The sequence below is a fragment of the Homo sapiens genome, chromosome 10 (assembly GCF_000001405.40).
Source record: "Homo sapiens chromosome 10, GRCh38.p14 Primary Assembly".
NCBI lineage: Eukaryota > Metazoa > Chordata > Mammalia > Primates > Hominidae > Homo > Homo sapiens.
The window spans coordinates 102,636,799-102,660,265 of NC_000010.11; the positions used below are offsets into that span (position 1 = coordinate 102,636,799).

Genomic DNA, 23,467 nt, shown 5'->3' on the forward strand with positions numbered 1-23,467 from the left:
GTCAGATAATAATTTTCAAAAGGAGGATATATCTTACATAGAGACCCATGCTATGGAGAAACAGAGGAGGAGGGATAGTGGGGCTGGAGGGAGGGATGCATTTTAAATAGAGAAGTCAGGGACGGCATCACAGCATAGGTGACATTTGAACAAAGGATAAGGATCTCAATTACTGGAAGAAGTGTGCCATAGGGCTATCTGGGGGAAGATGGGCCAGGGAAACTGAAGAGCACCTGCAAAGGATGAGGGAGTCAAGAATAAACACACCGGGTGTCTTTGAGAAGCACCAAGGAAGCCAGTGTAGGTGCAGCAGAGTGGGAGAAGAGAAGGCTAGAAAATTATGCAGAGGCCAGACTGTGCAGGACCTCGGAGGGAATTCTAAAACTTTCACCTTTATTCTGGTTGAATTGAGAAGGCATTGGAAGATTCTGAGCAGAGGAGTGACATTTTCTGATATATATATATATAATATATATATTATATATTATATAACTATATATTATATATAATATATATATTATATATTATATAACTATATATTATATATAATATATATATTATATATTATATAACTATATATTATATATAATATATAATTATATATTATATAACTATATATTATATATAATATATATATTATATATTATATAACTATATATTATATATAATATATATATTATATATTATATAACTATATATTATATATAATATATAATTATATATTATATAACTATATATTATATATTATATAACTATATATTATATACGATTATAAAATATAATCATATATAATATATGATTATAAAATATAATTATATATAATATATGATTATAAAATATAATTATATATAATATATGATGATTATAAAATATAATTATATATATTATACATGATCATATAAAATATATAATATACATGATCATATAAAATATATAATATACATGATCATATAAAATATATAATATACATGATCATATAAAATATATAATATACATGATCATATAAAATATATAATATATTATACATGATCATATAAAATATATAATATACATGATCATATAAAATATGTATTATACATGATCATATAAAATATATAATATATTATACATGATCATATAAAATATATAATATATTATACATGATCATATAAAATATATAATATACATGATCATATAAAATATATAATATAATATACATGATCATATAAAATATATAATATACATGATCATATAAAATATATATTATACATGATCATATAAAAATATATAATATATTATATATGATCATATAAAATATATAATATATTATATATGATCATATAAATATATAATATATTATATATGATCATATAAATATATAATATATTATATATGATCATATAAAATATATAATATATTATATATAATATATTATCCCAAAGTGCTGGGATTATAGGCATGAGCCACCATGCCCAGCCATTCTGACTTATGTCTTTAAAAAACTGGCCGGGGCCTGGTGTGCTGGCTCACACCTGTAATCCCAGCACTCTGAGTCCAAGGTGGGCAGATCACTTGAGGCCAGGAGTTCGAAAACAGCTTGGCCAACATGGCAAAACCCAGTCTCTACTAAAGATACAAAAATCAGCTGGGTGTGGTGGTGCACACCTGTAATCCCAGCTACTTGGGAGGCTGAGGCAGGAGAATCACTTGAACCCAGGAGACAGAGGTTACAATGAGCCAAGTTCGTGCCACAAAAAAGATTACCCTGGCTACTACATTGAGAATTGACTCCAGGAGTTAAGGGCAGAAGCATGGAAACCAGTTAGGATACACTGAAATAATCTAGGCAAGAGATTATGGTGAAGTAATGGAGAGGTTAAGAAGTAGTCAAGATTTGCTGGCTGGACACAGTGGCTCACACCTGTAATCCCAGCACTTTGGGAGGCCAAGGCAGGTGGATCACTTGAGCTCGGTAGTTCAAGACCAGCCTGGGCAACATAGCAAGACTCCATCTCCACAAAAAGTACAAAAATTGGCTGGGTGTGGTGGCATACACCTGTTGTCCCAGCCACTCTGGAGGCTGAGGCAGGAAATCACTTCAGGCCAGGAAGCAGACATTGCAGTGAGCCATGATCGCACCACTGCACTCCAGCCTGGGCACTACAGAGACCCTGTCTCAAAAAAAAAAAAAAAAGATCTGCTGAAGGGTTGGTTCACCAAAAAGCAGAATACGGCAACAAGAACAGGTTTAAGAGGGAGCAGAGATTAGTATCCTTTTGGACATGCTGAGTTTGAGATGTTTGTTCTAACCACATGAGGATGTCATGTGAGCAATAGATATACAAGTGGATGATCGGAGAGATTTAAGAGAAGGACCTATAGGACCGGATACCTGATTGAATGGATAAGGGGTCAGGGAGGGCAGTAAGGGACAGACAGCTGTCAAGGTTGTCTTCTTCATCCTCAGCTTGGTAATACATTTTTGAAGTCCAGGCGCGGTGGCTCACGTCTGTAATCCCAGCACTTTGGGAGGCCGAGGAAGGCAGATCACCTGAGGTGAGGAGTTTGAGATTAGCCTGGCTAACATGGGCAAAATCCTGTCTCTACCAAAAATACAAAAATTAGCCAGGCATGGTGGCGCGCACTTGTATTCCCAGATATTTGGGAGGCTGAGGCAGGAGAATCGCTTTAACTTGGGAGGCAGAGGTTGCAGCGCGCCACTAGCACTCCAGCCTGAGTGACAGAGCAAGACTGTCTCAAAAAAAAAACAAAAAACAAAAAACAAGTTGTTGATAGGTCCACCAATAGAGATGGGGAATGCAGGAGGAAGAACAGGCTGGAATGTGAAGATAATGAGTTTGGCTTCCAATACATTGAATTCAACGTGCCTGTGGGACATCTGTGCAGACAGCATAGCCAGTTACACAGATCTGCAACCAGGAGGTGAGGATTTAGCCTGGAGATACTGACTGGGGAGTCATCAGCATGTAGATGGTAATAAAGCTCAGGAGTAAATGAGATAGCCCCAGGGTGTAGATTGGTAAGAGAAGAGGATGGAAAGCAGAACTCTGAAGACTGCCAACATTTATGAGATGGAAATTGGAGACATCTATGATTAGAAGATAAGAAGAAAACGACAAGCATATGATATCTTACAAGTTAAGGGGAGTGTTCAAAAAAGACAAGAAGTGAGGAATTGTTTAGATTGTTTATCCTGGAGGTCACTGGTGAGGAGGTCAGAAAGGGCCCTCCAACTGCTTCCAAGCTAGACCTTCTTTCTTTGCACCATCCTTACAGCATGGAATTGAGGATTAGGGCTTAGAAGCCACTTTCTCCTTGTTTGTTCATTCATTCATTTATTCACATATTCACTTGCCCTGCATATAACCCCCCATGTGAAGAGATACAAAACACTAAAGACAGGCTCTGTCATCAGAGGATCAGGGACCCAGGGGTCATACTGAACTAGATTTCAATCTCAGTTCTACCATTTAGAACATAATCTTTGATGACTCCAAAATCCCTATCTCCAGGACAAACATCCCCACTGGGCCTGTATATACAATTGTCTCCTCAATATTTCCATTGGGATATGAGCCAACTCAACTTAGAAAATCCCTTTACTCACCAGCCTGGGCAACATGGTGAAACCCTCACTCTACAAAAAAATACAAAAATTTAGCTGGGCTGTTTTGTGAGCTTGTAGTCCTAGCTACTCAGGTGGCTGAGGAGGTAGGATCACCTGAGCCTGGGAAGTTGAGGCTGCAGTGAGCCATGATTGCGCCACTGCACTCAAGCCAGGGCAACAGGGTGAAACCCTGTCTCAAAAAAAAAGAAAAGAAAAGAAAAGAAAAGAGAAAATAGAGAAGAAAAGAAAATACCCTTACTCAAATAATCTAATCCTGTTCAATTTTCCCCTTTTTAGTAAATGGTGCTACCATCAGCCTTTTGTTGAGATCCAAATCCTAGGAATCATTTTTAAAACATTTTTGGAGGATAGAAGGGAAAAATATAGAGTATAAATATTATAGTATAGCCTGGCATGGAGGCTGACGCCTGTAATCCTAGCACTTTGGGAGGCCAACGCAGCTGGATTACCTGAGGTCAGGAGTTTGAGACCAGGCTTACCAATATAGTGAAACCTTGTCTCTACTAAAAATACAAAATTAGCCAAGCGTGGTGGTGCATGCCTGTAACCCCAGCTACTCAGGAGGCTGAGGCAGGAGAATCACTTGAACCCTGGAGGCGGAGGTTGGAGTGAGCCGAGATCACGCCATTGCACTCCAGCCCGAGCAACAAGAGTGAAACTTGTCTCAAAAAACAATAATTATAGTATATATAATATATGGTATATTATAGTATATATATGGTATAGTATATATGGTATATTATAGTATATAATATATGGTATAGTATATATATGGTATATTATAGTATATATAATATATGGTATGGTATATATAACATGGTATATTATAGCATATATAATATACACTATAAATACATATAATACATATAGTATATTTATACTATATACTTATCACCATATACTGTATATCCTATACTAGATATAATATGTACTATATATAATAGTATACTATACTTTTATAGTGTACTTATAATATATAGTATCTTATACTATACTTATATAGCACACTTATAATAAGCGTACTATTATATAATATATAATAGATATATAAGGAAGGCCCTGTGTGTTCTGGCCCCTACCTTTCTTCCTGGACACATGGCCTTCTTTCTGTCCTGGAACCTGCCTGTTCTATTGCTTTTGCATTTGTTTTTTCTTCCGACTGGATCGCTCCTCCCCCAGGTTTCACCTATCTGACTCTTTGTGTGCATTCAGGTCCCAGCTCAAATGTCACTTTTTCAGAAAGCCTTTGTGTGAGCCTGTTATTCTCTATCACGTAAATTGTCCTCCGTGTATTTACGTTAAATTTTTTGTACGTTTTTCTGGGAATTCTCAGGGCCTAGAAAAATATTTTGTTAAAGATTTATTGACTGACCATTGACCTTGGCAGATTTCTGCAGTTCTTTAAGCCATGGTTTCCTTATTAATAGAGGAATAAATGCCTATCTTGCTAGGTAGTTTAAAGTGCCAGGGATGAAGTTAAAAGTATTAAGGACATCGGGAAATCTCCCCACACTGAACCTTTGCATTTCCCTGCTCAGTTCCACCGGACTGCTGAGCAGACCGACAAACGCTCCTTTCCCTCTGGGTAAAAAGAGCCACGGGTCTTCACTTCAGGCCCAGGAAGAGGTGGTCCCACTACGCCGTGGCATCATCGCTTTTTTAACAAGCGCGGAAAACCCCCTCCCATCCCAATGTTTAATGTACCGAAGTTTGTGAGAGTCACGTGAGACTCTCGGGTCTGCCCCGCCTTAGGGAGGTGGAGCCTCAGCTTGTGGGCCAATAGCAGGAGCAGCCTCCGGAACAGCCCCAACGCGACAGGGAAAGGGGGAGGAGCCGGGCGCCCGGCCCTGTAACTGTACTTCCGGAAAGCACGCCCCGCCCCTTCCCCCCCACCGCGCCCGTTTCTTTCGCCAGTGCCGGGTGGGCCGAACCGGCGGGTGCCGATTAAAGGCGCCGCCTGCCGCTTTCTCCTCGCCCCCCAGCGCCGCAGCTCTCCGCCCCCTTCCCGAGTAGCGGGACCGGCCTTGATGTAGGGACACCACCCCCCGTCTCCTTCCGCCCCAGCCCGGGAGCTCGGCTCGCTGCAGCCCCTGGCCCTCCCGTTTCCCCACCCTGCCTGCCCCGCTCTGCTCCGAACCCATTGTATACGGCCGGCTGCGGACTCCCAGGCCGGGCCGTGGCGGGGGCCCCGGGACCCCCGAGTGCCCCTCCGGCTGGTCCCGCGGGCCGCGGCATCTCCGCCGCCGCCTTCCTCGCGGCGGCGGCGAGGGCGCCCTTTCCTCCCCGCGCGGGTGACGGGGACGCACCCCCACCCCGGGGCGCCCCTTCGCGGGGGGAGAGCCGGGCCCGAGCAAGTCGAGGCAGGAAAGGGCCGCCACGGACTGCCCGGCCCGCCGATCGTTTTTATTATCGAGATTATTATTAAAAGGGGGCGGGGACCCCAGGACGCGGGGGAGGGGCTGGATACGCAGGTATTTTTATTAAACAGATTATTCCTGAAATAATAATACGCGCAAGATGGCTGAAGGTGGCTGTGATGAGAGTGTTGGGGTTGGGATTTTTTTCTTCCTGTTTTTTCTTTTTTGATCTGAGGATAAAGCTCTGAGGCGACAGCGGCTGCGGAGACCCTGCCCGAAGCGCCCTCCCCTCCCTTGAGAAGCCGCGGGCAGACAGACGGACCTCGGACCGAGCAACGGGTGCGGGCCCGCCCCGGACGCGTCGCCTGGGCAGCAGCCGGGGACCGCGGGCTCTCGCCTTTCTGCCGACTTCTTCCAATTCTCATCTTCTTTTATTTTTTGGACAGGACCGGGGTGGGTGGAGCAGAGGTGGAGAGAAATCGGGACTTGGCATTTTCTCCCTCTCTCTCTCCTAATTTGTTGGAGGCCGCCAGCCCTCCCCTTGGAAAAAAAAAAATCCCACCAAAAAAAAAAAAAAAAGAATCAGGAGCGAGAGGACGCCGCGGGGCCCTCAGCGAGCGCGCCCAGACCCCGGCCGCCGCCGCGGAGCCCAAGATGGCTGGGCGCTGAGGGTGGCGGCTCGGCCTGGCCCCGCCGCCGCAGGCTGGCTCCGACCGCAGCCCCGAGCCTTCCAGGCCCCAGCAGAGGCCGAGAAGAAAAGAAAGTGGGGAGGAGGGGGCCGGGGGGGCGAAGGGGGAGGGCCGGGGGAGGGGAGGGGAGGGCCGGGAGCCGAGCCTCCTGTTCATTAGCAGTTGAGAAAAATTCCTTTCTAGTTTGATCAATCCTTGTTTTCCTCGGCAGAGCCCGGGCGCCCGCCCAGCGCGGAGACGGGCGCGCGGGGTCTCTCCGCGGCGGGGGCGCCGGGCCTCGGGGGAGCGCAGAAGTAGCCGCCCGGGGGTCAGGCCGGAGCGCCGCCGGGGCTTCTCCCTCCCTCCCTCGCCGGTTGCCTTTTTTTCCACTTCTCTCCCTCCCCCTTCCGTTTCTATTTGTGAAGGGAGGAGGAAGGCAGAGGCGGGCTGGTGTCTCTGGCCGGGGACTGGAATTTCATCTGAATGACTGCCCCTGCGCGCACGCAGCGCCCCGGAGTCGGCCCGCCCGCGCCCCGCAGCCCGCGCCCGGCCAGCCAGCCGGGGGACGCCTGCACCGTGGCCCGGGGACCGCCGGCCTGCCCCTCCCGCCCCGTCCGGATCTAGCAGCCCTCGGCGCGGCCGCCCTCGCCTCCTGGCCCCGCAGACCCCGGGCTCCGGCCCCTGCGAGGGAGGTGCGGCGCCGACGAGCCAGGCAGGAGCCGCCGCTGCCGCCGCCGCCGGAAGAAGTGTGCTGCTCCCAAGCTCCGTCTGCCGCGGGGCGCGCCCCAATGTCAGCCGCGGGGACGAGCGCAGGCCGCGGGCCGCCACTGCCCTAGCCGCGCCGACGGGGAGGCGGCCTCTTATATGGAATTTGGACCCCGGCGCTCCCCTCCAAGGCTGGAGTCCCGGCCGCGGCCCTGGCGCAGTCCGCCGCCTCCCGCTAGGCGCTCGGGAGGAGGAGGAGACGCAGCCCGCTGCGCGCGCGGCGTGAGGACCGCGGCTCCCTCCTCCGGGGGGCGGGCACGCGGAAGGCGCTGCTGACTGAGCGACCGTCGGGGCCGGCTGGGGCCGGAGCTCGGGGCTCGGTGGGCCTACAGCGGCTCCGGACGGACCCCCGGGGCTGGGGAGTCGGGGAGGCCTGCCCCGGCCCCCTGCCCGCGGCCGCCATGGCGGAGAATTGGAAGAACTGCTTCGAGGAGGAGCTCATCTGCCCTATCTGCCTGCACGTTTTCGTGGAGCCAGTGCAGCTGCCGTGCAAACACAACTTCTGCCGGGGCTGCATCGGCGAGGCGTGGGCCAAGGACAGCGGCCTCGTACGCTGCCCAGAGTGCAACCAGGCCTACAACCAGAAGCCGGGCCTGGAGAAGAACCTGAAGCTCACCAACATCGTGGAGAAGTTCAATGCCCTGCACGTGGAGAAGCCGCCGGCGGCGCTGCACTGCGTGTTCTGCCGCCGCGGCCCCCCGCTGCCCGCGCAGAAGGTCTGCCTGCGCTGCGAGGCGCCCTGCTGCCAGTCCCACGTGCAGACGCACCTGCAGCAGCCCTCCACCGCCCGCGGGCACCTCCTGGTGGAGGCGGACGACGTGCGGGCCTGGAGCTGCCCGCAGCACAACGCCTACCGCCTCTACCACTGCGAGGCCGAGCAGGTGGCCGTGTGCCAGTACTGCTGCTACTACAGCGGCGCGCATCAGGGACACTCGGTGTGCGACGTGGAGATCCGAAGGAATGAAATCCGGGCAAGTACCCTACGCGCGCGCGCGCACACACACACACACAGACACACAGTCCCTTCCTCTCTCCCGCCCCGGGACCACCCATCCCGACAGGCTGACTCTTGTGACATCAGGCCAGTGGCCCCTGGCCAAACTCTTCTCTGAAAGTTTGGGGACAGGGTCCTGGGAAGAAGGGCCCCGGGTCGCTACTTGGTACATTCTCGCACCTGTGCGCACAGGGTCCGTCTTCTGAGTGCTTTATGGGATTGGGGTGTGGGACCGTCAGGGGTAGAGTCTGGGTGTTGCTTTTCTGTGGTGCGCAGCTCCCTCCCCCAGTCTTGTTGCTGTAGGCCCTACGGGAAGTCACCGAGGCAGTGACCCCGGTCCTGCCTCTCCAGCTGCTGTTTATGTAATGAGTGTCCCGGTGCCGCTGCTGTGGCTGACATGATCCATGATGCTGGCATACCAATGAGGAAGTAAACAAAAGCAGCCATGTTAGTTTTCAGCGCTATTGGAAACACACTGGGGGGGGAGTGGGGGGAGTTTCCAGAGGGAGAGCAGAACTCCGGCCGTCTCTCTGGACAGGGCCTGGGCAGCCAGCGAGGCCCCGACAGCGGCTCCGCTATTTGGATTCCTCCCGAGAGCCGGCTCTCCCTGTGTGAGAATCGCTGCCCTGTGTGCCTGTGTGTCGCACGGGCCGCATGAACAAGCCTTCAAGTATCTGTCTTCATCATCCTGGCCCTTTCGCCTAGCACAGCCCTCTCGCCGCCCTCCCACATTTGGGGAGGGGAAGTGGAAGACGGAAAAAGAATCCTGTGGGTTTAAGGTTGAGCCGCCTTGAAATCTGGTTTCAGGCAGCTGGCTCCCCTGGGCTGCCGGCTGGGTGATTACGGAACCGCGTCCCCTCCCATTGTATACACCCTGCGGCCGCGGCCAATGTCAAACCGCCTCCCCCCTCAGGCCTCTGGGCCTGGTTTTGGAGCTGGACTGAGGCAATACTTCCGTCCCCTTCAGTGGAGGGGGCTCCTCCTAGGTCCCTCCCCAGTCCTCTGGCTTTCAGGGTTGAGTCATACCAAAATGAAGGGGTTGGCCTGACACCGAGGAGTCCTCTCTGAAGCCCCACCTTGGGGCCTGGGGCCTGGGTGTGATATCTGGGGGCTAGGCTGCACTCTGGTGGGACTGGGAGTGTCTCTGGGTGGGGATCCCTGGAGGTTAGTGGAGGCCAGTGCGGAGGCTGGCTATGAGGAAGCTCTGTTCAGGGCATGATTGGAGATGGGGCTGTTTCCTGTGTGGGGGGACCAGTCAGAATGAGTCACTGTTTAGCAATTAAAAAACATACACATACAACCAACAAAAGGCAGGAGGGCCACCACAGGCTGGGGCGGGGGCAGCAAATACGATTTGCTGTATAATTAGTTTCCAATCGGATGGACTAGCCCTGGGTTTGTGTGCCAGGATAGGCCTCTGGTTTCTTAAAGGAAGTGTGTCCTCCACCCCCTGTGTCCTCCATCCCCGTTCAGGGCAGGCACAGCCCACACTTTCCCCAGTATTGGGAAGCTGCTGCTATTAATAAAGATGGAAGGGCTGGGGGAGGAGGCCGGGAAAAGTGCAGAGGCAGGAGAAAGGAGGGCTGTCCAGTTCTGTCCTGGGATTGGCAGTGGAAAATGAGAGGAGGGGAAAGGAGATGTGGCTGAAAGGAACAGGGGAGGGGCAGCAACCTGGGCGATGGGCGGATGCCTGCCCGCACCCACAGTGCTGCTGTAGCTGGTCTGAGTTCTAGGGATGTCTTTAATTGGGGTGGGGGAGAAAACGTCATTATACCTGACTTGGTGTAGGAGGATAGCTTTAGGTGTCTGTGTTTTTGAATGTCTTTGAGACTGTGTGCTTCGCCCTCCAATGCACCTGTCTCCTGTCTCTACAGTTCAGGGCACAGGCAGGGGTGGGTGGGTGGCATGTGCATGCAGAGTATTCCCTGGGGTGCCCCCCAGCAGGCCCCTCATTTCCAGACTCGTGGATTGGATGGAAGCAGGCACTGAACTTTGTCGGCAACTCCGCAGGGTGTGTGTGTGCGTGTGTGCGTGTGTGTGCGTGCGCGTGCATGCGCGTGCTTTCTTGTGCCTGGTGTGGGCAGGCTCAGAAGTAGTGGGTTGCATCAGGGCCAGATGTGCAATTCTGTGCGTTCAGCAGCTGTGCCCTGCAGTGGCAGCCTGAGCCTCATCCTTCTCCAGGTTCCCCCTCCCCAGGCCCCTGATTCTTTCTGGTGCCCCAGGCCACTGGGGTTGGAAACCCTTCAGTAGCCCAGTGTCACTCAAGTATGAGTTTGACTTATTGAATGTGGAGGAATAGGGGCCCTGCCTGCCCTCCCAGGAGGGAGAGGAGGGGGTGAACCATAGGAACCTAAATGGAAGAACCCTCTGCACTCTCTGTAGGCCAAACAGGGGGAGTGGGTGGAGCGCTCTTCCTTGGCCCCTTTTCTCTTCCCGGAGGGAGTCTGCCTTAAAGGGCCTTTGCTGGTGTTGTGGGCGAGGGCCACAGAATTCCCCAGGATACAGGGGCAGAAGCACAGAGACCTGGCACCTGCCTTAAAATCTAGGCTCTGCTTCTTGTGCGTCCTCTTCTGCCCTCCCAGGGGGATTGCTGACATGCCTGTCAACTGGCTAGAAATAGGAAACTCTGATTAACCCCTCCCTGGTGGCCTCACCCTCATATACTTACAGCATCCACAGGTGCACATGGGCCATAGCCTAGAGCAGGGACCCAGCAGGAGAGCAAACAGGTCCTCCATCCATCCTGGGGAACTACAAGGGGGACTCTCAGAATCAGGCCCAAGCAGGTTGTTGCCCTAATCTTCCCTTGGGAAGCCAGTGTGTCGGCCACATTGCCGAGGCCTGGATACTCACTGGATGATCCCGAGACCATTGTCTAGGATGTGCCTAGATCCTAAATGTGCTCTCCCATGAGGCTGTGGGGAAGCTAAGGGCCCAAGATTTGGACATCCAGGTGGGCTCAGGCCTGGCAGTCCTGAGTGGTCAGACCCCTCCTAGCCCCCAGGTTCAGGGGTTCATCTAAGCATTGAAGGACTGGTGGGAGCTGGGGGGCATCCTTATCTCATGACCCCCCATGACATGGAAAGAAGACCCAAGAGCAGGCCCGGTTGCATGTGTGAGGGGCCTGCAGGTATGTGGTGCGTATGTGTCTATGCAGGTGTATCTGCTTGAGTCTTGTGCAGTTACGGTTGTGTTTCTGCATCGTCCCTGGTGTCCCAGAGCAAGGCCAGACATGTTGCTAGGGCCCTGTTCCTTGCATTTTCAGAGGTTCAGAGTCAAGAAGAGGTTCTCTGGGGGAGGAGATCCCACTGCTTGGGCCAGTGTGGGGTTTGCCCCTGCTTGGAGTGAGGGTATCCTGTGCACATTGCCGGTGGCTGGAGGGGTCACCCTGAGACCCTGGAGGGAATCCTGGGTTTCCTCTCCATTTATCTGTCTCTGAGTACGCAGTGAGAGTGAGGGCTGGCTCTACTGGGGCTGGTGCTGAGGCTGGGGCTGCAGCCTGACTCCAGCAGTGCAAACCTCACTGCTCCCTCTCCCTACAGCAGACCATACTCCTGCAGGGGTGTGTGTGTTTGTGTGCACGCACGTGTGTTTGTGGTGTGACGGTCATGTGGCCCCTTCTTTGGCCACCCCCGAGTCTTCGTGGAAGGAGGCCCTGGCTTGGCTTTCTCCGTTGCCCGTGAAAGGGAGCCTCAGGCAGAGGCCCAGCTGCCCACCCCTACCCCAGGATCCTGCTGACATGGCCAGGCACCTGTCATGCACACACTATTATTACTCTGCCTTCTGCGGCCCTGGGTGGCTGCACATCTGTGTCTGTCTGCAGGTGTGTGTGTGTGTGTGTGTGCGTGCATGTGTAGCCAGCACGTCTGGGTCGTGTATCTTGGATGTGACTGATCTTTTTGCATCTCACATGGGTGTCTCTGAGAAGGCGCAGCCTGCCTGACTTCAGTCCCTAGTTGCGCAGCCGTGTCTGCCTGCCGGGCTTGCTGAGCGCCTGCGAGTTGAAGTTGAGTGTGCCTTCCTGACAGTTGGCAGCACTACTGTGCTGCTGTGTGAGTGCCCGCTCAGGTGATCCTTGCTTGGTGGCTGTGAGTTTGTCAGGGGTCCTGGGACTTCCCCCTGTGGTGGGGTTGTTGGGGAAAGGAGGGAAAGATGGGCTTCCCCTTGGGGTGAGCCTGTGGCGGGTATTGGAGGCAGGAGCTGAAAGGGTCCTGCGCTGTTGTGTTGGGTGCAGTCTGGCGAGGCGGAGCAAGCCCGGCTTGGGCCCCTGCCCCGGGCCGAGCAGGCTGGCCTGGCTGGCCTCCTCCCTGGCTCTGGGAAAGCCTTCCTTTCCCGGCTGGCCTGGCATTCAAAGCCAGACAAAGGGGGGCTTTCTCTCTCGCCTCTTTGTTCTGCTGCCCCAGAGCGCTGCTCTCTGCATGGCAAAAGCTAATTCCACTCTGCAGCTGGGAAGCCCTCTCTGGGGTCTGCCGGGCTCGCATCTGAGGTGCTGCCTCTCTCCTTGCCCTGGCGCCTGCCCTGGAGCCCCTTCCCTCTGCAGCTTGTGGTTTCCCCAGCCTGGGGTTCAGTTCACATGATAGCCCAAGGCAGTGGCTTGAGGCATGGAAAGGGGGTTTAGGGCAGGCAGAAGCTTTTCTGAGGAAAGGGGAGAGTGCTATGAGCGCAGAGACCCAGGGAGAGATGGGGACAGGGACCAGGGGGAGGAGTAGGGGAGGGTTAGGATGGGGTGGCTCTGAGAAGGGGGCTGGAGCCAGAACTGGAGCTGGCCGGGCAGGGACCTAAGCAGGAAGAGGCTGCCCAGCCCCCTCTTCTTGCCCCTCCCACCACCACAGGGGCTTCTGGAGCTAGCCATGGTCTTGTCTGAAAACCTAGGGACTGCCTCTGTCCCAGTCCCTGGGGCCCTGTTTCCTCCTGACCTTGTTTCTCTTCAAGGTTGACTTGAGGGTTTTATTATTATTATTTATTAACTTTTATACAGCCCAGAGTCCCCAAGCCTCACCCGTCTGCCCAGTCTAGTCTGGCATCAAAAATGGCAGCTGGCCTGGCCAGTCAGTCTCCAGAGGGACATGAGGCTTTCCTGGGGCAGGAATGTAGGGGCTCAGGGTTCGCTGCTCCAGGCCGGGAGGGGAGTCAGAGGAAGCAGCGGCAAAGCTGAGGAGTGGGGGCCCAGGTGGTGGAGGGTGGGAATGGCGGCTCCTGATTCTTCATGCTTTTGTCCTCATAGGCCCCGGGCAGATCACCAAAGGCCTGAGGCCCGACAGGCAGGGCTGGGGGTGTGAAGGTCCTCCCTGGGCCCCACCTAGTCCCAGTCTCCCTGGTGGCCTGGGGCCTCCAGAGCTTCTAGCCCAGGCCACGTTCCACTCTGCTCTGCTCCTGCATGCTCCAGTGTACGCAGTCCAGGCCATGCACTGCTGTGGGGGGATGGGGCGGTGGCATGTGTAAGGTGCCTCCAGCCCACCTGCCTGCGCAGAGAGTACTTGCTCTGAACTGAGCTGGGAAATCTGGTCGGATCTCAGCTATGGGTTTTTCCCAGGTGGGAAGTGGGGCCTTGGCTCTTAGCCATTCCCTGGGGAGGCAGGTGGGGGTTGGGATGGAAAGGAGGCTGCTGGTGGTGGGGGGTCTGGGCCTTGCTTCCTCTGCTCCCTGTTTTCCAGCATTTTCCAGTGTCTTGGCAACCTGATTTGCTCATTCGGTGAACTGGGGTGGGGTCGTGAAGGGGACGGCAGGCAGGTATTTCCCATCTTCCTTCCAGTTTCCCAGGCTTGAAGCGGCAGCAGCTCCCACTGTTCTCCCAGGCGCTGTCTGTAGCAGGAGTTGGCCCTGAGGGAGAGCAGGCCAGACCAGTGCAGCCCCCCGGACTCCTCCCTGGCTGGCACCCCCTGGCCAGCCTCCTTCCTCTTCCTGCTCTCACTCCAACCCCTGCAGCAGAGACAGGAGCCCAGTGGCCTCAGCAGCAGGAGGGGGAAATGAAACCCTCCCACCTGCTAGGGACTGTGTGGCCTGGGCTGGTGTCCCACCCAGATTGCCTGGGACAGACAGAAGCTTGGGAAGACCCTGCCGGCTCCCAGGGTAGAAGTGCTGTCAGGGGAGGCTGAGGAAAGCCCGGAAGAAGAGGGAAGGGGCTGAGCCCCACCCCCCCAGGACTGGACAGGAAGGCCCTCCCTCTGCTGTGCCCTGAGGGGTCACTCCCTGGGCATCAGCAAGGGATGGGGCAAAGGGGCACCCACCAGCCTGCGGGGTGGGTGTGGACAGCTCAGTTCCTGTCCCCAAGGAAGCTGCGCTGGGACCTTGGAGCTGCCTCTTTCCTACCCCTCCCCTGGGACTCACCTGAATCCTCCCTGAACCAGCTCCTGGTGGGTTTGGTCGTGGAGAAGCAGCCATGCAGTAAGCCTGTGGTGTGAGATGTGTGGGGCCAGCAGGGCCTTTCAGATGTCCTGGGCACTGGATGGAGGGATCAGCCTGGACTCTGAAGAGCACCTGGGGGGCCCTGTCCTCCTGAGGGTGGGCTTGGGGCAACCAGCAGGCAAGAATTTGAGGGCCAATTGTTCCAGGGGAGGTCAGTGGGCCTGATGTTCCCAGAGTGTCCTGGCCACCTCGCCATCGTGCCAGGCCTCTTGCCATTGTCTGGGGCCTCCAGGAGGTCCAGCCTTCCCTGTGAGGGGGTTGGGTCAAGTGCCTTTGCACCTCTGGCTGTGCCCGCCAGCATACCTGAGGCGGGCTCGGGGCTCAGGTGGCAAGGTATTCCCATGTGCGTGCGCAGCTTTGTGCCAGGTGCCCCTGCGCCTGCCCACTCATGCTGTGTGTGCTGTCGGGCTCTGACCCTTGGGCTGGCAGCAGATTCCTGTGCCTCTTGGTGCTTCTGGGGGCAGGGCAAGGTCTCCCAGGCCTGATTCTTTTAGAGGTCCTGTCCTGGGTCACTGAAAGGTTAAGTTGTGTGTGGGCCCCCTGCACCCAGCTTATAAGGTGAAAGCCTCACCCCCACACTTCCTCCTGCTCCCAGGGTTCTGGTTTTTTCCACAGTAGCCTCCAACACAAAATAGGGTCAGGCTGAAGTCTGTGGTGGGCCTTGGTTTGCCCCTACGTAAAATGGGCTGGCGGGGTGAGGAAGGGATTGATGGCAGCTTGTCTTCGGGGAGCCAGCTGGGAGTGGCTGGGATGGGAGTCATGGGGTTGAACTGGAGGGTTACTTTGAGGCCCCCACAGAGGAAGAAAGAGAACCACTCCTTGCAGCATGACAGTTACTGTGAATGTCTGTGGTTACACAGAGCTGCTTTGCAAATTTTAGTTTGTGTATGGAACCCATGGGCTTATTGAGTGAATTTGTTATGCATCTCAGGCCGCCCAGGCCTTTGTGTGGCCTGCCTCTGAAGGAAGGTGGAGAAAGACAGCAGCAAATCCCCATTCTTAAGAGGCCCTGTGTCTTGTAGGGAGATGAGACCATGGTTTGTGAGGCAATTAGAAGACTCCAGAATAGTGCTGTCTAATAGAACTTCTGCATGATGGTAACATTTTATAACTTTAGTATCTGAGACTAGTGATACGTAGGTACTGGGCACTTGAAATGAGGTTGGTGCATGAGGAACCGATACTTAACTTTTTTTTTTTTTTTTGAGACAGACTTTCGCTCTTGTTGCCCAGGCTGGAGTGCAATGGCGCGATCTTGGCTCGCTACAGCCTTCGTCTCCCGGGTTCAAGTGATTCTCCTGCCTCAGCCTCCTGAGTAGTTGCGATTACAGGCATGCACCACCTTGCCCAGCTAATTTTGTATTTTTAGGAGAGATGGGGTTTCTCCATGTTAGGCTGGTCTCGAACTCCCGACCTCAGGTGATCCGCCTGCCTCGGCCTCCCAAAGTGCTGGGATTACAGGCATGAGCCACAGCACCTGACCTTATTTTTTATTTTTTGTTAACTTGGATTTAAATAGCCACATATGACTAGTGGCTACCATATTGGACAGCACAACCTGAGAGGGAGGGCAGAATGGGACAGCCCCACCCCGTAGCCAGGACAGGGAGGGACCTGCACAGGCTCAGAGCAGGGGTCATGGAAAGTTTCCTAGAGGAGTGGGGACTTCAGTTGGGCCTTGAAGAATAGACAGGGGAGGGAGGAGGCACTGTGGGCTGCAGAAGAATGTACCTAGAGCTACAGGGAGTTTCCATGTGTGGAGGGCTGGGGACAGGATACCAGCCCAGCTGGCTGGAAGAGTCAGGGTGTAAAAGAGCCTTCATTGCCATGCTAAAGTAGTTGATAGGACGGAGTCACGGAGAGTTTTTGAGCAGGGGAGAGAGCCTGTCTAAAGAGGCATATCTGGTGAGAGGAGGGCAGGAGAGATGGAGTGACTGGCAGGAAAGGGGTTGTGGGGACAGGAGATTATGAGCTGAGAAGAGCACTTTGGTCCAGCACCTTCCAGCAGCCTGGCCTCAGGTCTTAGGAGACCTCAAATCTCCTTTCTGCCTGGGTCCCACTGAGGGGGCTGAGGGAGCTAGCCAGGACTCCAGAGTCCTAGCTCTCAGTCTTAAGAACAAGGGAGGGGGTGACTGGCCTGATGCCCCCTAATGTAAGGCGAGGGTAAAGTGAGATCTTTGGACTGGGACAGAGGTTCACGTGGCTATGGAAGGGAATTTGACCCCCTGCATCTTAGGGTACTCATCTCTTAGAGGATGCTCCCCAGGGAGAGGCAGCACAGCCTGGGTAAGAACGGACCCTGCTGCCAGATCACCTGTGTTTGTGCCCAAGCTCTGCTATTTACAAGCTGTGTGACTGTGGACAAATTACTTAACCTCTCTAGGCCTCAGTTTCCTCTTCTGTGAAATGAGAATAATGATAGTACTTATCTCATGACATTACTGGGATGATTAGATAAATCTGTACAGGAAAAGTGTTTAGAACAGAGGTTGGTGTAGCCCTGCCCTCAGAAAGCTCAGGGTTTAAATATGCATGGGGGCTGGGCATGGTGGCTCACGCCCATAATCCCCGCACTTTGGGAGGCCGAGGCGGGCAGATCATTTGAGGTCAGTAGTTTGAGACCAGCCTGGCCAACATGGTGAAACCCCGTCTCTACTAAAACTACAAAAAAATTAGCTGGGCGTTGTGGCGCACGCCTGTAATCCCAGCTACTCGGGAGGCTAAGACAGGAGAATCACTTGAACCGGGGAGGCGGAGGTTACAGTGAGCCGAGATCGCACCACTGCACTCCAGCCTGGGCAACAGAGTGAGAATCCATCTAAAAAAATAATAAGATAAATAAATATGCATGGGAAGCTATTCTGGGGAGAGCTGGGAATAGGCCCCTGGGATTGGAGGGGGCCAAAGGGGCTGGGTAGCAGAGGCTTGGTGCCATCGGGTCAAAGGATCCATAGGATGCATGTGTTGTGTAGAGGGAAGCATGGGTCAGGGTTGGAGCCACAGTCCCTCTGATACTCCCACCCAAATGTCCCTGCAGAAGATGCTCATGAAGCAGCAGGACCGGCTGGAGGAGCGAGAGCAGGACATTGAGGACCAGCTGTACAAACTCGAGTCAGACAAGCGCCTGGTGGAGGTAGCTAAGCCCAAGGCCATGCTGCGGGGTGGGGGTGGCTTGAGCGCAGGGCTTTGGGTGAGTTCCTTACTAAGGATTGATTGTGTAGCCCTATGCCAGAACCACTCCATCAGTCATTCAATCAACTGCCCGTGGATGCCCACTGGTGCCAGGGGATGCTGGCCCAGAGCCCTGTGCTACCAGTGGGGAACTGGCAGGTCAGACCTTGCCCTTGGGAGCCTGGGGCAGCCTGGTGACTTAGGGTTCTAGGATGTGAGAAGGGTAAGAGGGGGGGAAACCAAAGGTTTCCAGTGCTTACCTGCCTGCCCACTCCTGCCCTCTGTACTCGCAGGAGAAAGTGAACCAACTGAAGGAGGAAGTTCGGCTGCAGTACGAGAAGCTGCACCAGCTGCTGGACGAGGACCTGCGGCAGACAGTGGAGGTCCTAGACAAGGCCCAGGCCAAGTTCTGCAGCGAGAACGCAGCGCAGGCGCTGCACCTCGGGGAGCGCATGCAGGAGGCCAAGAAGCTGCTGGGCTCCCTGCAGCTGCTCTTTGATAAGACGGAGGATGTCAGCTTCATGAAGGTGGGCTGGGCTCAGGACCAGGCTGGTGGCACCCAGAGGGCCATTTCCAAATTGAGATCTGCAGTTTCCTGCACCTGTAGCTCACATGCCCTTACCTTTGGAGCCAGCATGCATGGGTTCAAATCCACCTGCCTGCTCTTTCTAGCACTGTGACCTTGGGCAAGTCATAGGTACATCCCGGGCCTTGTTCCCTCACCTACGAAGTGGTGTTGATGATACAGGTCTACTATTCTTTATCCACAATTCCACATTTATAAACATCTCTGGAAACTAAACAAATTTTGGCATCTAATTTAACAGCAAAAATTGACCTAAACTGATGTTAGGCAATTTATGGTCTTTATCTTGCTTAGTATGAAAATTCAAACATTTTGCTGCAGAAATGTTGCTGTATTAGATTGTTGTGTCTTGCTGGGGATGATAATGTAATATATGATACAGGCACTGTATTCTCCGTCTAAAATCCAAAAAATTCCAAATTCCAAAACACATCTGGCCCCAAAGACTTGAGCTAAAACAGTGTGGGCCTGCAGAGCCCTTCTCCTCGGGTATGGATGAAGTTATGGATGCACAGAAAGCACTTACAATGCCTGGGTCACGTGGCAAGAGCTCAGTAAATGTTAGCTCTTCTTCCGCAAATGGCCACCCCTACCCCTGCCACTTTCTGTCCAGAATGAGAGGATCCACCCAGCCTGGGGGAGGCTCAGGGGGGGCAGCTTTTGTCTTCCCCTCTCCCCGGGCTCTCCCTGGACTGCCTTTTCCACTGACTTGACTCTTTTCTCTCCCCAACAGAACACCAAGTCTGTGAAAATCCTGATGGACAGGTAAGCTGAGGGCCCTAGCCCTCCCGGGGGCACATCCTGGGGAGGGCAGGGGGGCCAGGCCCATGGCGGGGAGGTAGGGCGGGCTCACCGGTGATGCCTCCTCACAGCAGATGCCCCGTCCACTGCCCCCAGGACCCAGACCTGCACGAGCAGCAGCCTTTCCCCCACTAAGATCGGCCACCTGAACTCCAAGCTCTTCCTGAACGAAGTGGCCAAGAAGGAGAAGCAGCTGCGGAAAATGCTAGAAGGTGAGGGTGGGGTGTTCCGCCGAAGGGAGACAGGGACCTTTGGGGAGGGGTTCAGCGCCACAGCCTTCCCTCCAAGAGGCAGTGTGGCCCAGTCTGGGAGACCTGTCCTCATATCCAGGCTTTGCCACTTGTAGCTGTGGGACAGTGGGTAAGCAACATGACCTCCCCAGCCTCCATTTCTTCAGCTTAAAGTGGGGATATAACTATTCTGTACCTCCTAATGGTAGAGGAGCAAGCATCACCTGAGATGTAACATTCTTGGGCCTCTAGGTGTCAATGGTCCCCAGGTCCAACCCAGGGAGAGGAGGCCTGGGTTGCTTGGGGTGGGAGCTTTGGCGACTTTTGCCCCAACTCTCCACAGGCCCCTTCAGCACGCCGGTGCCCTTCCTGCAGAGTGTCCCCCTGTACCCTTGCGGCGTGAGCAGCTCTGGGGCGGAAAAGCGCAAGCACTCAACGGCCTTCCCAGAGGCCAGTTTCCTAGAGACGTCGTCGGGCCCTGTGGGCGGCCAGTACGGGGCGGCGGGCACAGCCAGCGGTGAGGGCCAGTCTGGGCAGCCCCTGGGGCCCTGCAGCTCCACGCAGCACTTGGTGGCCCTGCCGGGCGGCGCCCAACCAGTGCACTCAAGCCCCGTGTTCCCCCCATCGCAGTATCCCAATGGCTCCGCCGCCCAGCAGCCCATGCTCCCCCAGTATGGCGGCCGCAAGATTCTCGTCTGTTCTGTGGACAACTGTTACTGTTCTTCCGTGGCCAACCATGGCGGCCACCAGCCCTACCCCCGCTCCGGCCACTTTCCCTGGACAGTGCCCTCGCAGGAGTACTCACACCCGCTCCCGCCCACACCCTCCGTCCCCCAGTCCCTTCCCAGCCTGGCGGTCAGAGACTGGCTTGACGCCTCCCAGCAGCCCGGCCACCAGGATTTCTACAGGGTGTATGGGCAGCCGTCCACCAAACACTACGTGACGAGCTAACGCCACGCAGGCGGCGGGGCGCTGGGGAATCTTCCTCCCCAGCCCCCGGGCTCGGGAGTTATGCATCCAGAGACCTGCCCTTCTACCTTCCTCGCCTCCCCTCTTCCTCATTCCATTGCCCCAGGTCTTTTCCTTTTGGATTTTGTTTTGGTTTTGGCTTTGTTTTTGATTTTTTTTTATTATGAATCTCCTGGACGCAGAGGTGACAGTGGGAGCTGGCCTGGGCCAGGACGGCAGGTGGCCCTGGAGATGGGAAAGTGTCTGTGTCGAGGCGCTGAGCTCTCTCTCTGTTTCTCCTTTTTTCCTCTACTCCTTCCCCTTCACACCCCCGTGGCTGGAAGGAACCTCGGCTTCCCTGAAAGCTTGGGGGTCCCACCCTTCTTACCCCACCCGGGAGGAACGCCCAGGGCCCCGGGCTTGTTTCTCCTCTTGTTTTCCTTTTGGGCAGTTTGATCACTGATCGAGTAAGGAATGACCTTTAGATTGTGCGACTTTTGTTTTTGTTTTTTTAAATTTTTTTAAACCAAGAATGATTTCTCCTGCTTCCTTCTCCTCACCATCTTCCCAGACGGAGTTCAAAGGCCACTTCTCAAGCAGCTTTTGGCACCTTCAGCCTCAGAGTGGAATCTTTTAAAGACAGGACCCCTATGTCCAGGAAAGGGGAAAAGGAACTTTGCCAATGATAGTGACCACAGCAAAAGCAAATAATAATAATATTAATAATAATAAAGAGAAATAAAATAATAAAATAAAAAACAATAGCACAGCCCTTGTTGAGGTCAGCAGGGAGGAGGGGCTGCCCGGAGTTGGGTCCTTGCCTGGATTTTGACACAGCAACTTCCTGTAGTGAGCACTTTGTATGAATCGTGGACTTCCTGTTCTCAAGGCGCAGGTATTTATTCTGTATCTGTCTAGAGCACACACCAAAATCCAACCTTCTAATAAACATGATGGCGCAGTCCCACTCCCTGCCTCGCCTGTTCCCCTATCCCCCCCAGGCCTGGGATCTTCAGGCGTCGGTGTGGGGAGGGGCCCCTGCCCTCCTTGCCTTGATTTTGCTCCCCTGGGTCCAGCTGGTTCCAGGCCTGTGAATGTCAGTTCGTCGGGCACTGACTCCGTCTGCTCTTGGCCTTGGGTTCATTTGACAAATATTTGCCCAGGGCCTCCCAGGCCCAGCCCCATGCCACCTGGGCCCCGGCATCTCTTTGAGGTTCTGCCAATGTGCTCTTAGCTGAGGACGAAGGAGGAACACCTTTCTATGAGTCTTGCAAAGTTTACCTCCTTCAGGCCACAAATATTTGAGTGCACACTACGTGCCAGGCACTGTGCAGGGCTGCAGGCATAGAGACAGAATGTAATCTAGCTGGGCCTTGGACCCCATAGGGAGAGGGGACCACTCAGGTCCATACTTCCTTTGGACTTGGGGCTTTGGCCTTGGGAGGGGTGGAGGTGGGGTGGCAAGATGAAAAAGACATCCTGCCCCCATCCACTTCGGCAGAGCTTCTCAAAGTCTCAAGCATGTCTTGGGAGCTTGTTAAAAGGGCCGATTCCTTGCTGTGGCTCACGCCTGTAATCCTGACATTTTGGGAGGCCAAGGCAAATTGCCTGAGCTCAGGGGTTTGAGACCAGCCTGGGCAACATGTCGGAACCCTGTTTCTACAAAAAATACAAGAATTAGTTGGGCGTGGTGGGGCACACCACACCTGTGGTCCCAGCTACTCTGGGACTGAGGTGGGAGAACTGCTTGAGCCTGGGAGGCAGAGGTTGCAGTAGGTCTAGATCAAGTCACTGCACTCCAGCCTGTGCAACAAAACAACAGAGCAAGACCCTGTCTCAAAAAAAAAAAAAAAAAAAGGGTAAGGGTGCTGATTCCTGAGGCCTAGCTTAGACTCATCGGGAATCTCTGAGAGCCCAGGAATTTGCATTTTTAACTCTATTCTCCCATATCCTGGGTTTAGAGAAGTGCTGCCATTGTGGTGGTCAGGGTCCTCCCTGCTGCTTGTCACAGAGGCCACTGCGGGGAGAGGAAGCTGGGACACCCCCAAGGCCCTTCTCTGGAGAGGGGCCTCACCTTCAAAAAGGCTCCGGTTGTTGCCTGATGCTCTGCACAGAGCTGTAAGTCCGCAGCCCATGCACTTCTGTAATCTGCTGGGTGCCTAGTTATCTTTCTTCTTGTTTGGGCAGAATCCGGGCCTGAATGCCACCCACCCCAGGAAGCCCAGGACAAGGCAGACAGCCTTGTAAAGTCCCATTCCTGCCAGGCGCGGTGGCTCATGCCTGTAATCCCAGCACTTTGGGAGGCTGAGATGGGCGGATCACCTGAGGTCGGGAGTTCGAGACCAGCCTGGTCAACGTGGTGAAATTTCATCTCTATTAAAAATACAAAAATTAGCCGGCATGGTGGTGGGCGCCTGTAGTCCCAGCTACTCAGGAGGCTGAGGCAGGAGAATCGCTTGAACCTGGGAGGCAGAGGTTGCAGTGAGCCGAGATCGTGCCACTGCACTGCAGCCTGGGTGACAGAGCCAGACTCCATCTCAAAAAAAAAAAAAAAAAGTCCCATGCCAGTGGTCCAAGCCTCACTGACCCCTAGCCACCCCTCCCCTCAGAAAAATAAAGGCTTGCCGAGCACGTTGGCTCATGCCTGGAATCCCAGCAGTTTGAAGGTGGATGGATCACTTGAGTTCAGGAGTTCAAAACCAGCCTGGGCCACATGGTGAAACCCCATCTCTACTAAAACGAAAAATTAGCCAGGCGTGGTGCCACGGGCCTGTGGTCCTAGCTACTCTGGAGGCTGAAGTGGGAGGATTGCTTGATTGAGGCTGGGAGGTGGAGGTTGCAGTGAGCTGAGATCTTGCCACTGCACTCCAACCTGGGCAACAGAGCAAGATCCTGTCTCAAAGAAAAAAAAGAA

At 53.6% G+C, this 23,467-nt stretch overlaps 1 protein-coding gene and 2 long non-coding RNA genes across 7 annotated transcripts, besides 17 other annotated features; 1 reads left to right on the plus strand and 2 right to left on the minus strand.

Moving 5' to 3' along the window:
• Positions 4,654-4,948: a silencer, noted in NCBI's record as "tiled region #2079; HepG2 Repressive DNase matched - State 2:TssF". NCBI's record gives its function as "represses a minimal TATA promoter and a strong SV40 promoter by Sharpr-MPRA in HepG2 cells {active_cell/tissue: HepG2}" and the evidence as "EXISTENCE:reporter gene assay evidence [ECO:0000049][PMID:27701403]".
• Positions 5,381-6,010: a silencer, noted in NCBI's record as "silent region_2765". NCBI's record gives its function as "represses an Ori minimal core promoter by ATAC-STARR-seq in GM12878 lymphoblastoid cells {active_cell/tissue: GM12878}" and the evidence as "EXISTENCE:reporter gene assay evidence [ECO:0000049][PMID:35858748]".
• On the minus strand, positions 5,994-6,391 carry TRIM8-DT (TRIM8 divergent transcript). The gene has a single exon (NR_186489.1). It is a non-coding gene; the product is annotated as a TRIM8 divergent transcript (long non-coding RNA).
• Positions 6,319-7,073: an enhancer, noted in NCBI's record as "H3K27ac hESC enhancer chr10:104402874-104403628 (GRCh37/hg19 assembly coordinates)". NCBI's record gives its function as "activates a minimal SCP1, AML or CMV promoter by ChIP-STARR-seq in primed H9 embryonic stem cells {active_cell/tissue: H9 hESC(primed)}" and the evidence as "EXISTENCE:reporter gene assay evidence [ECO:0000049][PMID:30033119]".
• Positions 6,319-7,830: a biological region, named in NCBI's record as "hESC enhancers GRCh37_chr10:104402874-104403628 and GRCh37_chr10:104403629-104404384".
• Positions 6,341-6,400: a silencer, noted in NCBI's record as "silent region_2766". NCBI's record gives its function as "represses an Ori minimal core promoter by ATAC-STARR-seq in GM12878 lymphoblastoid cells {active_cell/tissue: GM12878}" and the evidence as "EXISTENCE:reporter gene assay evidence [ECO:0000049][PMID:35858748]".
• Positions 6,671-6,770: a silencer, noted in NCBI's record as "silent region_2767". NCBI's record gives its function as "represses an Ori minimal core promoter by ATAC-STARR-seq in GM12878 lymphoblastoid cells {active_cell/tissue: GM12878}" and the evidence as "EXISTENCE:reporter gene assay evidence [ECO:0000049][PMID:35858748]".
• Positions 6,851-7,830: a silencer, noted in NCBI's record as "silent region_2768". NCBI's record gives its function as "represses an Ori minimal core promoter by ATAC-STARR-seq in GM12878 lymphoblastoid cells {active_cell/tissue: GM12878}" and the evidence as "EXISTENCE:reporter gene assay evidence [ECO:0000049][PMID:35858748]".
• Positions 7,074-7,829: an enhancer, noted in NCBI's record as "H3K27ac-H3K4me1 hESC enhancer chr10:104403629-104404384 (GRCh37/hg19 assembly coordinates)". NCBI's record gives its function as "activates a minimal SCP1, AML or CMV promoter by ChIP-STARR-seq in primed H9 embryonic stem cells {active_cell/tissue: H9 hESC(primed)}" and the evidence as "EXISTENCE:reporter gene assay evidence [ECO:0000049][PMID:30033119]".
• TRIM8 (tripartite motif containing 8) lies at positions 7,681-21,521 on the plus strand. Of its 3 annotated transcripts, none has more exons than NM_030912.3 (6): positions 7,681-8,389; positions 17,855-17,950; positions 18,282-18,515; positions 19,308-19,339; positions 19,472-19,587; positions 19,949-21,520. In NM_030912.3, exons 1-6 carry the CDS (start codon positions 7,820-7,822, stop codon positions 20,554-20,556), a joined length of 1,656 nt encoding a protein of 551 aa, NP_112174.2. In that variant the 5' UTR covers positions 7,681-7,819; the 3' UTR covers positions 20,557-21,520. The 3 variants fall into 3 exon arrangements, 2 of the variants coding, with proteins under 2 accessions (NP_112174.2, NP_001332879.1); NR_144321.1 differs by having other exon boundaries at positions 7,697-8,389; positions 19,447-19,587; positions 19,949-21,521; NM_001345950.1 differs by lacking the exon at positions 17,855-17,950 and having other exon boundaries at positions 7,697-8,389; positions 19,949-21,521.
• Positions 7,931-8,060: an enhancer, noted in NCBI's record as "active region_3941". NCBI's record gives its function as "activates an Ori minimal core promoter by ATAC-STARR-seq in GM12878 lymphoblastoid cells {active_cell/tissue: GM12878}" and the evidence as "EXISTENCE:reporter gene assay evidence [ECO:0000049][PMID:35858748]".
• Positions 8,841-8,940: an enhancer, noted in NCBI's record as "active region_3942". NCBI's record gives its function as "activates an Ori minimal core promoter by ATAC-STARR-seq in GM12878 lymphoblastoid cells {active_cell/tissue: GM12878}" and the evidence as "EXISTENCE:reporter gene assay evidence [ECO:0000049][PMID:35858748]".
• Positions 9,116-9,332: a silencer, noted in NCBI's record as "fragment chr10:104405671-104405887 (GRCh37/hg19 assembly coordinates)". NCBI's record gives its function as "represses an EF-1alpha promoter that drives an FKBP-Casp9 reporter gene in an ReSE screen in phorbol 12-myristate 13-acetate-treated (for megakaryocytic differentiation) K562 erythroleukemia cells {active_cell/tissue: K562(+PMA)}" and the evidence as "EXISTENCE:reporter gene assay evidence [ECO:0000049][PMID:32094911]".
• Positions 11,764-12,731: an enhancer, noted in NCBI's record as "H3K4me1 hESC enhancer chr10:104408319-104409286 (GRCh37/hg19 assembly coordinates)". NCBI's record gives its function as "activates a minimal SCP1, AML or CMV promoter by ChIP-STARR-seq in primed H9 embryonic stem cells {active_cell/tissue: H9 hESC(primed)}" and the evidence as "EXISTENCE:reporter gene assay evidence [ECO:0000049][PMID:30033119]".
• Positions 11,989-12,048: an enhancer, noted in NCBI's record as "active region_3943". NCBI's record gives its function as "activates an Ori minimal core promoter by ATAC-STARR-seq in GM12878 lymphoblastoid cells {active_cell/tissue: GM12878}" and the evidence as "EXISTENCE:reporter gene assay evidence [ECO:0000049][PMID:35858748]".
• Positions 12,059-12,108: an enhancer, noted in NCBI's record as "active region_3944". NCBI's record gives its function as "activates an Ori minimal core promoter by ATAC-STARR-seq in GM12878 lymphoblastoid cells {active_cell/tissue: GM12878}" and the evidence as "EXISTENCE:reporter gene assay evidence [ECO:0000049][PMID:35858748]".
• Positions 12,349-12,398: an enhancer, noted in NCBI's record as "active region_3945". NCBI's record gives its function as "activates an Ori minimal core promoter by ATAC-STARR-seq in GM12878 lymphoblastoid cells {active_cell/tissue: GM12878}" and the evidence as "EXISTENCE:reporter gene assay evidence [ECO:0000049][PMID:35858748]".
• Positions 12,499-12,558: an enhancer, noted in NCBI's record as "active region_3946". NCBI's record gives its function as "activates an Ori minimal core promoter by ATAC-STARR-seq in GM12878 lymphoblastoid cells {active_cell/tissue: GM12878}" and the evidence as "EXISTENCE:reporter gene assay evidence [ECO:0000049][PMID:35858748]".
• Positions 13,358-18,333, minus strand: LOC105378460 (uncharacterized). Of its 3 annotated transcripts, none has more exons than XR_007062272.1 (3): positions 18,249-18,333; positions 14,740-15,329; positions 13,358-14,331 (listed from the first exon to the last, which is right to left on the minus strand). It is a non-coding gene; the product is annotated as an uncharacterized LOC105378460 (long non-coding RNA). The 3 variants fall into 3 exon arrangements; XR_007062274.1 differs by lacking the exon at positions 18,249-18,333 and having other exon boundaries at positions 13,358-13,823; positions 14,089-14,331; positions 14,740-14,858; XR_007062273.1 differs by having other exon boundaries at positions 13,781-14,331; positions 14,740-14,802.
• Positions 16,316-16,365: an enhancer, noted in NCBI's record as "active region_3947". NCBI's record gives its function as "activates an Ori minimal core promoter by ATAC-STARR-seq in GM12878 lymphoblastoid cells {active_cell/tissue: GM12878}" and the evidence as "EXISTENCE:reporter gene assay evidence [ECO:0000049][PMID:35858748]".